Below are 12,798 nucleotides of genomic sequence, written 5' to 3'. Positions count from 1 at the left end.
CAATGGCAGCTGGAGGGAGGACAGCAATGCCAGATAATGAACACCTAAGACAATCATTTCTGTCAGAAGTAGAGCTTCCAAGGCCCCATCTTGAATTGGGGAAATGATCTGAAGTCTAAAGATGCTACCCACTAACATATGATAAAGCCCCACAGTGGTAGAAAGGGCCCTAGAAGGTGAATCTAAACAAAATTACTGCTGATTATCTATTCTCTGGGCCATAGGACACAGAAAACAAAATACACTCTACAAGCAAGCTAAACTTATGAGACAGACACACAAGGTCTTAATAAAGCTGACTGCAAGAAAAATGGAAAGGAGAAAGGGAGAGCATGGCAACTGTGCAAAAGATGTTATCATTTTTAAAAAGGCAAAAAAAGGATATATGTGGTAGATAAACCATCCTTTCTGGGAGAAAACATAACTGAATAGATCAGAAGAAAATTTCCCATTATGAGTGCTCTAATCTTAAGAGGAATAGGAAAACAATGAAAATGACAGGCAAAAAAAGATGATAGAACAATATAAGATGAAAAATATAATGGGAGAACTACATAAAAAATTAAGGCTCAAAAACACTATTATAAAAATAATAAATAAAATGAGCACATAATAGTAGTTATAAGACTGAATAATTACAAAGAGCCTACTATGAGCCAGACACTGTTAAAATATTTTGAGTACATTATGCATATAATCCTCACAAGAACACTGTAAGGTAAGGGTTACTGTTTTCTCATTTTACAGATGAGGAATTTGAAGTACAAATGGTTAAGTAGCTTTCCAAAGAGCTCCAAAGGGGCAAAGCCAGGATTTGAACCTGGCAGAATGATTTCAGAGCCCATGCTCTTCAGCTGTTATAATATACTGCCTCTCAGCAGGACTTGAATGAAGAGCCAAAATAACAAATCTTAGAGCGAGGGTAGCCTCTTTCAAAGAACTGGAAATCACCAGAAACAATTTTGTCAGCAATTCAAGAAGCCAAGTGGACTTTGTACGACTGCCTATTATGAAATACAAACCTTGAAAGGTTCTCTTACTCAGAGATGTAGATAATTATGTAAGAGAAGAATACTTAAAAATAGAAACCTCCTCAGAGAGAAGCTATATAATTTGCTTCAGGTCACACAACTGGAAAGCTTTGGAGCTAAGATTCAAATCTGGCTCTCTGGTTCCAATTACTCCATGCTTAACATGGCACTAGAAACATAAGGGCATTGAAAATACATATATATATATGGCTAAGAACATTGGTAACACAGACCAAAGAAAAAACTTGCTTAAAATAAGCAAACTAAATGCAAAGGAAAAGGAAATCTATAAAGTAAATAAAAAGACGACAGAGTGGGAAGACAATGACATTTCAACACAAGTATAATTGGAGTCTTTGAAGGTGACAACCCAATTCATGGAACAGAGAAAAAACTAACCTGAAGATAAAATGGAATAAACATTTTCTAAAATGGAAGAGAAAATGTGCAAACTAAAAGTACATATGTTTAGGGAGATGTTGATACAGAACATTGACACAAAGTATATCCTGGTAAAGTTGCTGAATATCAAATATAAACTCAAGAATAAATTTTTCATCAATTAAGGCAGAAATAGTAAGTCACTGATAAGGAAAAAAAGTATCTGAGACTGGCCTCAAATCTTACTGCAGCAATTATCAATGTCAAAATAATGCAGCAAAGTCTGAAAATTTTGAGTGAAGGTGTGACCCAAAATGTCACACTTTAAAAAAACTCTTTAGTACATAATTCATGTACACCTTTTTAAAAATTCAAAAGTACAGGAAGACATATACTAAAAATAAGGACTTTCTTCTCATAGCTCTGTCTCCATCAAAGAGGTAAATAATGGTAATTAGTTACATATTTTATTTTTTAGAACTATTTTATACATATGCAAGCATATATATTTTCTTAGCTTGGGTTCTCCTGAAATCAGAGCTGATACAAAGCTTTTTTGTAGGTAGTCTGACAACATGATCCCAAGGAGGACGAGTAGCAATCAGGGGGAGTTAAACAAGTTAAGAGAAAAAGGCAATAAAGAAATGCAGCATTGAATTGGCCACTACTGTGAGCAACAAGAGCTGGATTCTGATGGGGCTTCTGGAAATCTTCATAAACTGTGACTCTAAACTGTCCACCTGAGTGTGAAACGAGAGGCACTTATCTAGTGTTTCCTGTGCTTTATTGATGGAGGGTATCCAAACAGTTAATTCCCTTGCATTTCTACACTGCAAGTGCGTGAATGTTGAATGGGTTTGTGTGAGAGTCTCTCTCCGCAGCTTCAGAGAAGCCCTGGGACAGTGTCATAGACTGAAGGTTTGTGTCCCTCCATAATTCCTATGTTGAAGCCCTAACCCCTCAATGTGATATTATTTGGAAGTGGAGCCTTTGTTGGTAATTAGGTTTTAACGAGGTCATGAGGGTGGAGGCCCCATGATGGAGTTAGTGTCCTTATAAGAAAAGGAAGAGACTGAAGTTCACTCTCTCTGCCATGTGAGGACACAGAGGGAAGACAGCCTTTTGAAAACCGGGAAGAAAGCCCTTACCAGGATCCGAATGGACAGCACCATGATCCTGGATTTTCTAAGCCACCCCAGTCTATGGTACTTGTTACGGTAGCCTGAGCTGACTAAGACAGGCAGGAGCAAATAGTACACACTGCAGGCCTGAGAAGAGACACTGTCACAGTGCACCAGTGTGAAGCTTGTTGAAGCCTGCAAAGAACTGGTCATCACAGCAGTGGCTGGAGTTAGGGGTAAGTGCCAGTTACATTGAAATAGAGAATAAAACATATCCAATGCATTTATGCATATAAATGTACTACCCCACATTTTCCCTACAAACCATGGCATCCTATTGACAATGTTCTGTACATTGTTCTAACTGATTAGCAATCTATCTTGCAGACTATAGCCACATCAGCATAAATCTTACTCATTTAATGACTACATAGCATTGCATTATATGAATGCATCATAATATATTGAACCACTTTCTAGTTAATGAATATTGAAATTGCTCTCAGGCTACAAACAATGCTTTGGGAAATACACTCTCATAGACACACAGTCATCGTATCTTTGTGCATACATGTAATTTTTTTCTGTAGAAATATTTTCTACAAGTTGGATCGCTAGGTCAAAGACTATGGGCTTAAAACATTTTTATTAATATTGATAAGTTGCTCGCCAAAGAAGGTTTTTTCTTTTTTCTGTTTTTTGTGATGGAGTCTCACTGTGTCACCCAGGCTGGAGTGTAGTGGTGCAATCTCGGCTCACTGCAACCTCTGCCTCCCGGGTTCAAGCGATTCTTCTGCCTCAGCCTCCCGAGTAGCTGGGACTACAGGCACGCCCCACCATTTTTGTAGTTTTAGTACACACGGGGTTTCACTGTGTTGGCCAGGCTTGTCTCGAACTGCTGACCTTGTGATTCACCCACCTCAGCCCCCCAAAGTGCTGTGATTATAGGCATGAGCCACTGCACCCGGCTTCAAAGAAAGTTTTTCAATTTACACTCTGCCAGAAATGCATAGATGCCTGTGTTCTCACATCTTCAGCACAGTGCATTTTCACATTTAAAACTTTGTTGCCAATCTAGTAGGTAAAAAAGGACTTTGTTTTAATTTGCATTTTTAAAATTACAGCTGAGGTTGAGTGTTTTCGTTTGCTTAAAAGGCTTTCATATTATCTCTTCTATAAATTGCTTGTTCATATTTGTTGCCCATTTTTTTCTACTGCATTTTAGGTTTTTTGCATTAAGAAAATTAGCCTTTGTCACATTTGTTACAAAACATTTTCCCTGTGTGCTGGTTTTCTTTTATGGGATTTTGTTTTCTCTTTGATTAAAAGTGGAAAGTTCAAAGGACTAAAAGATCTCAAATATGACGCACCAGCCTCACACCTGCCAAAGTTTAAAACAATTCAAGTAAATCCACAGCCCCTAGAGCAGTTAATGTAACAAAATAACATTCTCAGAACTAGTTCTTAGTAGAACCTGATACATGCCACTGGGGTCTATCACATCCCAGAGACTCAGCAGCACCTGTCAGCAACACTGTGGCAGCTACTGCTGTCTCTTGGAATGTGATTGCTGAAGCCCATGACACCTGGCTCCAAGGAACAGTTTTTCTCCTTGTCTTCACATGTGTTTCTGCTAGAGGATCTCTCAGCCAATTTCCGAGCAGGAGTGCCTATGAGGCTGTCTGAAGCCTGTGCCCTAAGGGCTTTCATGAGGGCTAATAACCGTCCTGATCTCCTGAAGGCCCTTTCTTTCCTCTGCTTCTGAATCTCCTGGGCTTACAGTGATGATCATTCTGCCGCAGCTTTACCTGCAGTGGACTGTGTTCTTCCCCGCTGGGGTTCTCTCCTTTCAGGAGGGCCTAGCTAAGGTTTTTAACTGCTTAACCTCCTTCTTAAGGGGCTTCCTTTCTTTCTCAATCTTGTATAATGCTAGCACTCTTGGACCTTCTTTGCTCTTAGTATCTGAGCAGTGCTTCTTCTAATTCTTGTCTAGATTTCTCTATTCTCTAGCAACCCCTCTCTATTCAGATAAATACCAAAATATCTTTCCTTTTGCAAGCCTATATTTAAAAGCAGTTGGATATGAGTGTATATATGTTCTATATATGTAGCTAGTCTATCCTGTAAGGTCTGACTTTTTCTCAGAGGGAAACTCTCTTCTTAAGTCTGTCTTCCTTAATTTTTCTTTCATTTGCCCATAATCCCTGTTTTAATGGTAGTGGGCATGCATATTTTTAAATACCAATGGTAGTGGAAAGCATATTTTTAAATACTAATCTAGTTCCTCCTTGATTTCCCCAGGAAAAATGATTCTCAGAGTATTCCAGGCACAAGCCTTCTAAAATCGCCTGCTTTAGCCTGCAAATTTGAAATACATTCACTGAATTGTTTCTCCATTTCAAACCAAGAAGATGACATATTTGCTATACGACAAAAGTTCAGTCTACCTTTAATTTTTTTTATTAATGAAATCTACCACTTCTGCATAGTAAAGAGATAGCCTAGGTCACTGACATTTGAAGCCAGATCAGAATTTATGTGATTAGCACATGCAGCGCCAACTGGGGGCCACATGGCGGAGGTTAATCTGAACCCAAAGCCTAGGACAAGCTGCATGAGTCCAAAATGGCTTCTTTCACCTTGAATGCTGTTCAAAACAAGATAAGAAGAAATCAAAGTGGGGTCTGCTAAGCAAAGTCTAACACCTCATAATGTGCATCTCTCAGATCAGCAGTAGCAGCATCACCTGAAACCTGCTAGAAATGCAAAATCTTGGGTTCTACCCCAGAATTACAGAATCCAAATCTGCACTTTAACAAGACCCCCCGAGAGATTTGTTTGCACATCTAAGTTTGAGAGATCTTATATAACTTAGCTCTCTGCAGTCCTTGCTGAGAATAAAAAGTTACAGAGAGAAATTCATTGCACCCACAATACTTACAAAATCTGCACACTGAATCTCAATCTGCTTTAACTGAAACTAAAAGGTTCTTTTCTGATCATTTAATCCTTGTCCTAGCTGCTTGCTTTGGTGAAAGCAAAGGTGTAGCATTTGGTGTCAATGAGCTACAGAGGTGCCTTCTCTCTCTCCCCACACTGAGGCCCATGCCAGGTGAAGACCAGGTACAGGACGATAGTGATTATAAACCACTTCTCAAATACCTAGTGTCCTGACATAGTCCCAAACTACCCAAGCTGGCCTTTAAGAAGGTTCCATTTCTATGTATTATTTTATCCCCTAAATTCTAGTCCTTAGCCATCTATTAAAATCAATATTAAGGGTTTGAAGGTCCTAATGAATAAAACCACTCTTTCCTCCTCCCAAGCGAGAAAATATGGAGAACTAAGAGTGAGGCATTAAATCAATAAAGATCAAAAGTCAGACCTGTTGTTGTTAAGCTGATTACAATATAAGGCTTAGAATCGCAACCCAATGAGCTTCCAAACACTCCAGAGAATTTGGATAAAAAACCGTCCAATCCACAGTCAGGCCCTGCAGGGCCAGGCCAGTCTCCTTGAACCAAAGGGAGCATGTGAATTCTGAGGAGCAGCTCCTTTGAAAGAGATAAAGCCAAGCCACTCGTGTTCAGCTAAGCGCCCAGTTTCACAGCCAGAGAAGTCACTCCCCCTCCCTTGGGGAGAGGCAGCAAGGGTGACAGAGCAGTCAGAAATATCATACTCATACATTCTCTTCCATCAATAGAAATCTGAGGAATGGGAAATAGGAAGGCTCCTAATAAAGTCTTTGCAACGTTGAAAGCAAATAAATCTGAAAACAAATAATTTTTTTTGGAAAAAAAAAAATCACCAAAGCTGAACCATGAAGAGACAGAAAACAGACTGATAACTATGGGATAAATTGAGAAACTTACCAAAATCCTAAATTGCCTAAAAGTACCATGTTTCATAAGAGAAATCCTTAAAACTTTTGAGGAAAAATTAATTTCAATACTATTTAAACTTTCCAAGAGTGCATGGGGGAAAAAGGGGCTGTGAAAAGAAAGGCTTGTTCGGCAAAGTCAGCATAATATTTATACATAAATCTGACCTAAATAGAGTCTAAAAAGAAAAGACCAAGCTCATTTATGAATGTTGGCATTAAAATCTTAAGTGTGATTTTAGCAACTATAATTGGATAATATATTAAAGAGTATTACACCATAACCAAGTCAAGAGATTCTAGAATGCAAAAATGGTTCAAAGTTAATAAATATATTTATATAATTTATGTTTATGAGTCAAGTAACAAAATAATAAAAAGTTCAAGGCCCTACATGCTATAAAAGCATTTGACAAGATAAAAAATCTATTCCTGGCTGGGTGTGGTGGCTCACACCTATAATCCCAGCACTCTGGGAGGCCAAGGCAGGAGGATCACTTGAGGCCAGGAGTTTGAAACCAGCCTGAGCAACATAGTGAGACCCTGTCTTCACAAAAAATTGAAAAAATTAGACAGGCCTGGTGACCTATGCCTGTAGTTCTAGCTACTCAGGAAGCTGAGGTGGGAGAATCTCTTGAGCATGGGAGTTCCAGATTGCAATGAGCTGTGATTACACCACTGCACTCCAGCCTGGGTGACAGAGCAAGATCTTGTCTCTTAAAAATAAATTAATTAATTATATCCATAAAGGATATATATACTTGACTTTTTTGTTTTTTGAGATGGAGTCTTACTCTGTCGCCCAGGCTGGGGTGTAGTGGCGCAATCTCAGCTTACTGCAACCTCCACCTCCTGGGTTCAAGCAATTCTTTGCCTCAGCCTCCTGAGTAGAAACTATTCACTGGTATTACAGGCACCCACCACCACGCCTGGCTAATTTTCATATTTTTAGTAGAGATGGGGTTTCACCATCATGGCCACACTGGTCTTGAACTCCTGACCTCATGATCCACCTGCCTCGGCCTCCCAAAGTGCTGAGATTACAGGCATGAGCCACTGCACCCAGCCATACCTGACTTTTTAAGATACAAAATCTTAGTAAAGTAGGCATAAAGAACCTCATGCCTAATGATGAGATGGTAGAAAAATTCTCATTACCATTGGGAACATGACAAGGATACCCAGTATCTCCAGTATTACTCAGCTTTTCAGAAAATACTATCCAGTATAGAAATGGGAAATAAGTAGAAAAATTATTTTTCCCATGCCTAGAGAACTCAAAAGAATAAATGATGGGCTCACACCTGCAATTCCAGCACTCTGGGAGGCCAAGGTGGGAGGATCGTTTAAGGCCAGGAATTTGAGACCAGCCTGAGTAACACAGGGGGTCCCAATCTCTAAAAACAAACAAATTAAAATAAAGAATAAATGAAAAGAAGTATATTATTGGCAAAAAGAGAACTTAGTAAGCTTATCAAAAGTTTTTCTATATTTGCTGGCAACATGGCCGAATAGGAACAGCTCAGGTCTGCAGGTCCCAGCGAGATCGATACAGAAGGCAGGTGATTTCTGCATTTCCAAGAGAGGTAGCAAGTTCTTCTCATTGGGACTGGTTGGACAGTGGGTGCAGCCCATGGAGAGCGAGCCAAAGCAGGGTGGGGCATTGCCTCATCTGGGAAGCACAAGGGGTAGGGGGATTCCCCCCACCCCCAGCCAAGGGAAGCCCTGAGGGACTTTGCCATGAGGAATGGTGCACTCTGGCCCAGATACTGCGCTTTTCCCATGGTCTTCACAACCCGCAGACCAGGAGATTCCTTCCAGGGCCTATGCCACCAGGGCCCTGGGTTTCAAGCACAAAACTTGGCCGCCATATGGGCAGACACTGAGCTAGCTGCAGGAGTTTTTTTTTTTTTTTTTTTTTCATACCCTAGTGCCACCTGGAATGCCAGCAAGACAGAATCATTCTTTCCCCTGGAGAGGGGGCTGAAGCCAGGGAGCCAAGCGGTCTGGCTCAGTGGGTCCCACCCCCATGGAGACCAGCAAGCTAAGATTCACTGGCTTGAAATTCTGGCTGCCAGCACAGCAGTCTGAGGTCAACCTAGGACGCTAGAGTTTGCTGGGAGGAGGGGCGTCCGCCACTGAGGAGGCTTGAGCAGGCAGTTTTACCCTCACAGTGTAAACAAAGCCTCCAGGAAGTTCAAACTGGGTGGAGCCCATTGCAGCTCAGCAAGGCCACTGTGGCCAGACTGTCTCTCTAGATTCCTCCTCTCTGGGCAGGGCATCTCTGAAAAAAAGGCAGCAGCACCAGTCAGGGACTTACAGATAAAACCCCCATCTCCCTGGGACAGAGTACCTGGGGGAAGGGGCGGCTGTGGGTGCAGCTTCAGCAGACTTAAACGTCCCTGCCTGATGGCTAAGAAGAGAGCAGATCTCCCAGCACAGCGCTCAAGCTCTGCTAAGGGTCAGACTGACTCCTCAAGTGGTTCCCTGGCCCCCATGTATCCTGACTGGGAGACACCTCCCAGTATGGGCCGACAGACACCTCATACAGGAGAGCTCTCACTAGCACCTGGCAGGCACCCCTCTGGGATGAAGCTTCCAGAGGAAGGAACTGGCAGCAATCTTTGCTGTTCTGCAGCCTCTGCTGGTGATACCTAGGCAAACAGGGTCTGGAGTGGACCTCCAGCAAACTCCAGCAGACCTGCAGCAGAGGGGCCTGACTGTTAGAAGGAAAACTAACAAACAGAAAGGAATAGCATCAACATCAACAAAAGGGACATCCACTCAGAGGCCCTATCCGAAGGTCACCAACATCAAAGACCAAAGGTAGATAAATCCATGAAGATGGGGAGAAACCAGCGCAAAAATGCTGAAAATTCCAAAAACCAGAATGCCTCTTCTCCTCCAAAGAATCACAACTCCTCGCGAACAAGGGAACAAACCTGGATGGAGAATGAGTTTGACGAATTGACAGAAGTAGGCTTCAGAAGATGGGTAATAACAAACTCCTCTGAGCTAAAGGAGCATGTTATAACTCAATGCAAGGAAGCCAAGAACCTTGAAGAAAGGTTAGAGGAATTGCTGACTAGAATGACCAGTTTAGAGAAGAACATAAATGACCTGATGGAGCTGAAAAACACAGCACAAGAACTTTGTGAAGCATCCACAAGTATCAATAGCCGAATCGATCAAGCAGAAGAAAGGATATCAGAGATTGAAGATCAACTTAATGAAAGAAAGTAAAAAGACAAGATTAGAGAAAAAAAATGAAAAGAAACAAACAAAGCCTTCAAGAAATATGGGACTATGTGAAAAGACCAAATCTATGTTTGGTCTATGATTGGTGGAACTGAAAGTGACGGGAAGAATGGAACTGAGTTGGAAAACACTCTTCGGGATATTATCCAGGAGAACTTCCCCAACCCAGCAAGGCAGGCCAACATTCAAATTCAGGAAATACAGAGAACACCACAAAGACACTCCTTGAGAAGAACAACCCCAAGACACACAATCGTCAGATTCACCACGTTTGAAATGAAGCATAAAAGGTTAAGTGCAGCCAGAGAGAAAGGTTGGGTTACCCACAAAGGGAAGCCCATCAGAGCAACAGCAGATCTCTCAGCAAGAACTCTACAAGCCGGAAGAGAGTGGGGGCCAATATTCAACATTCATAAAGAAAAGAGTTTTCAACCCAGAATTTCATATCCAGCCAAACTAAGCTTCATAAGCAAAGGAAAAATAAAATCCTTTCCAGACAAGCAAATGCTGAGAGATTTTGTCACCACCCGCCCTGCTTTATAAGAGCTCCTGAAGGAAGCACTAAACATGGAAAGAAACAACCGGTACCAGCCACTGCGAAAACATACCACATTGTAAAGACCATCAACACTATGAAGAAACTGCATCAACTAACGGGCAAAACAGCTAGCATCATAACGACAGGATCAAATTGACACATAACAATATTAACCTTAAATGTAAACAGGCTAAATGCCCCAATTAAAAGATACAGACTTTTAATTGGATAAAGAATCAAGACCCATCAGTGTACTGTATTCAGGAGACCCACCTCACGTGCAAAGACACACATAGGCTCAAAAGAAAGGGATGGAGGAATATTTACCAAGCAAATGGAAAGCAAAAAAAAGGCAGGGGTTGCAATCCTAGTCTGTAATAAAACAGACTTTAAACCAACAAAGATCAAAAAAGACAAAGAAGGGCATTACATAATGGTAAAGGGATCAATGCAACAGGAAGAGCTAACTATCCTGAATATATATGCATCCAATACAGGAGCACCCAGATTCATAAAGCAAGTTCTTAGAGACCTACAAAGAGACTTAGATTCCCACACAATAATAGTGGGAGACTTTAACACCTCACAGTCAATATTAGACAGATCAATGAGACAGAACATTAACAAGGATATCCAGGACTTGAACTCAGCTCTGCACCAAGCAGAACTAATAGACAGCTTCAGAACTCTCCACCCCAAATCAACAGAATATACATTCTTCTCAGAATCACATCACACTTATTCTAAAACTGACCACATAATTGGAAGTAAAACACTCCTCAGCAAATGCAAAAGAACGGAAATCCTAACAGTCTCTCAGATCACAGTGCAATCAAGTTAGACCTCAGGATTAAGAAACTCACTTAAAACCACACAACTACATGGAAACTGAACAACCTGCTCCTGAATGACTACTGGGTAAATAACAAAATGAAGACAGAAATAAAGATGTTCTTTGAAACCAATGAGAACACAGACACAATGTACCAGAATCTCTGAGACACATTTAAAGCAGTGTTTAGAGAGAAATTTATAACACTAAATGCCCACAAAAGAAAGCAGGAAAGATCTAAAATCAACACCCTAACATCACAATGAAAAGAACTAGAGAAGCAAAAGCAAACAAATTCAAAAGCTAGCAGAAGACAAGAAATAATTAAGATCAGAGCAGAATTGAAGGAGACAGAGAAAAAAAAAAACCCTTCAAAAAATCAATGAATCCAGGAGCTTGTTTTTTGAAAAGATCAACAAAATAGACGACTAGCCAGACTAATAAAGAACAAAAGAGAGAAGAATCAAATTGACACAATAAAAAATGATAAAGGGGATATCACCATTGACCCAAAGAAATACAAACTACCCTCAGAGAATACTATAAACACCTCTATGCAAATAAATTAGAAAATCTAGAAGAAATGGATAAATTAATGTACACGTACACCCTCCCAAGTCTAAACCAGGAAGAAGTCAAATCCCTGAATGGACCACTAACAAGTTCTGAAATTGAGGCAGTAATTAATAGCCTACCAACCAAAAAAGTCCAGGACAAGATGCATTCACAGCCAAATTCTACCAGAGGTACAAAGAGGAATTGGTACCACACCTTCTGAAACTATTTCAAACAATAGAAAAAGAGGGAATCCTCCCTAATTCATTTTATGAGGCCAACATCATCCTGATACCAAAACCTGGCAGAGACAACAAAAACAAAAAATGAAAATTTCAGCCAATATCCCTGATGGACATTGATGCAAAAATCCTCAATAAAATACTGGCAAACTGAATCCAGCAGCACATCAAAAAGCTTATCCACCACAATCAAGTCAGCTTCATCCCTGGGATGCAAGGCTGGTTCAATATACACAAATCAACAAATGTAATCCATCACATGAACAGAACCAATGACAAAAACCACATGATTATCTCAATAGATGCAGAAAAGGCCTTCAGCAAAATTCAACACCCCTTCATGCTAAAATCTCTCAATAAACTAGGTATTGATGGAACGTATCTCAAAATAATAAGAGCTATTTATGACAAACCCACAGCCAATATCACACTGAATGGGCAAAAACTGGAAGCATTTCTTTTGAAAACCAGCACAAGACAAGGACACCCTCTCTCACCACTCCTATTCAACATAGTATTGGAAGTTCTGGCCAGGGCAATCAGGCAAGAGAAAGAAATAAAGGGTATTCAATCAGGAAAAGAGGAAGTTGAATTATTCCTGTTTGCAGATGACATGATTGTATGTTTAGAAAACCCCATTGTCTCAGCCCCAAATCTCCTCAAGCTGATTAGCAACTTCAGCAGTCTCAGGATACAAAATCAATGTGAAAAATCACAAGCATTCCTATACACTAACAACAGACAAACAGAGAGCCAAATCATGAGTGAACTCCTTTTCACAATTGCTACAAAAAGAATAAAATACCTAGCAATACAACTTACAAGGGATGTGAAGGACCTCTGCAAGGAGAACTACAAACCACTGCTCAAGGTAATAAGAGAGGACACAAATAAATGGAAAAACATTCCATGCTCATGGATAGGAAGAATCAATATCATGAAAATGGCCATACTGCCCAA

General features: G+C 40.5%; 1 long non-coding RNA gene across 1 annotated transcript in view, besides 2 other annotated features; it reads right to left on the bottom strand.

Moving 5' to 3' along the window:
* LINC02408 (long intergenic non-protein coding RNA 2408) overlaps window positions 1-12,798 on the bottom strand; it is a 47,050-nt gene that overhangs the window by 3,039 nt on the left and 31,213 nt on the right. The gene's annotated exons all lie outside the window — the stretch shown is intronic.
* Window positions 8,041-8,540: an enhancer, noted in NCBI's record as "H3K4me1 hESC enhancer chr12:67949333-67949832 (GRCh37/hg19 assembly coordinates)". NCBI's record gives its function as "activates a minimal SCP1, AML or CMV promoter by ChIP-STARR-seq in primed H9 embryonic stem cells {active_cell/tissue: H9 hESC(primed)}" and the evidence as "EXISTENCE:reporter gene assay evidence [ECO:0000049][PMID:30033119]".
* Window positions 8,541-9,042: an enhancer, noted in NCBI's record as "H3K4me1 hESC enhancer chr12:67948831-67949332 (GRCh37/hg19 assembly coordinates)". NCBI's record gives its function as "activates a minimal SCP1, AML or CMV promoter by ChIP-STARR-seq in primed H9 embryonic stem cells {active_cell/tissue: H9 hESC(primed)}" and the evidence as "EXISTENCE:reporter gene assay evidence [ECO:0000049][PMID:30033119]".

Source organism: Homo sapiens, chromosome 12 (assembly GCF_000001405.40).
Source record: "Homo sapiens chromosome 12, GRCh38.p14 Primary Assembly".
Taxonomy (NCBI): domain Eukaryota; kingdom Metazoa; phylum Chordata; class Mammalia; order Primates; family Hominidae; genus Homo; species Homo sapiens.
This window is presented reverse-complemented; position numbering and strand designations above follow the sequence as displayed.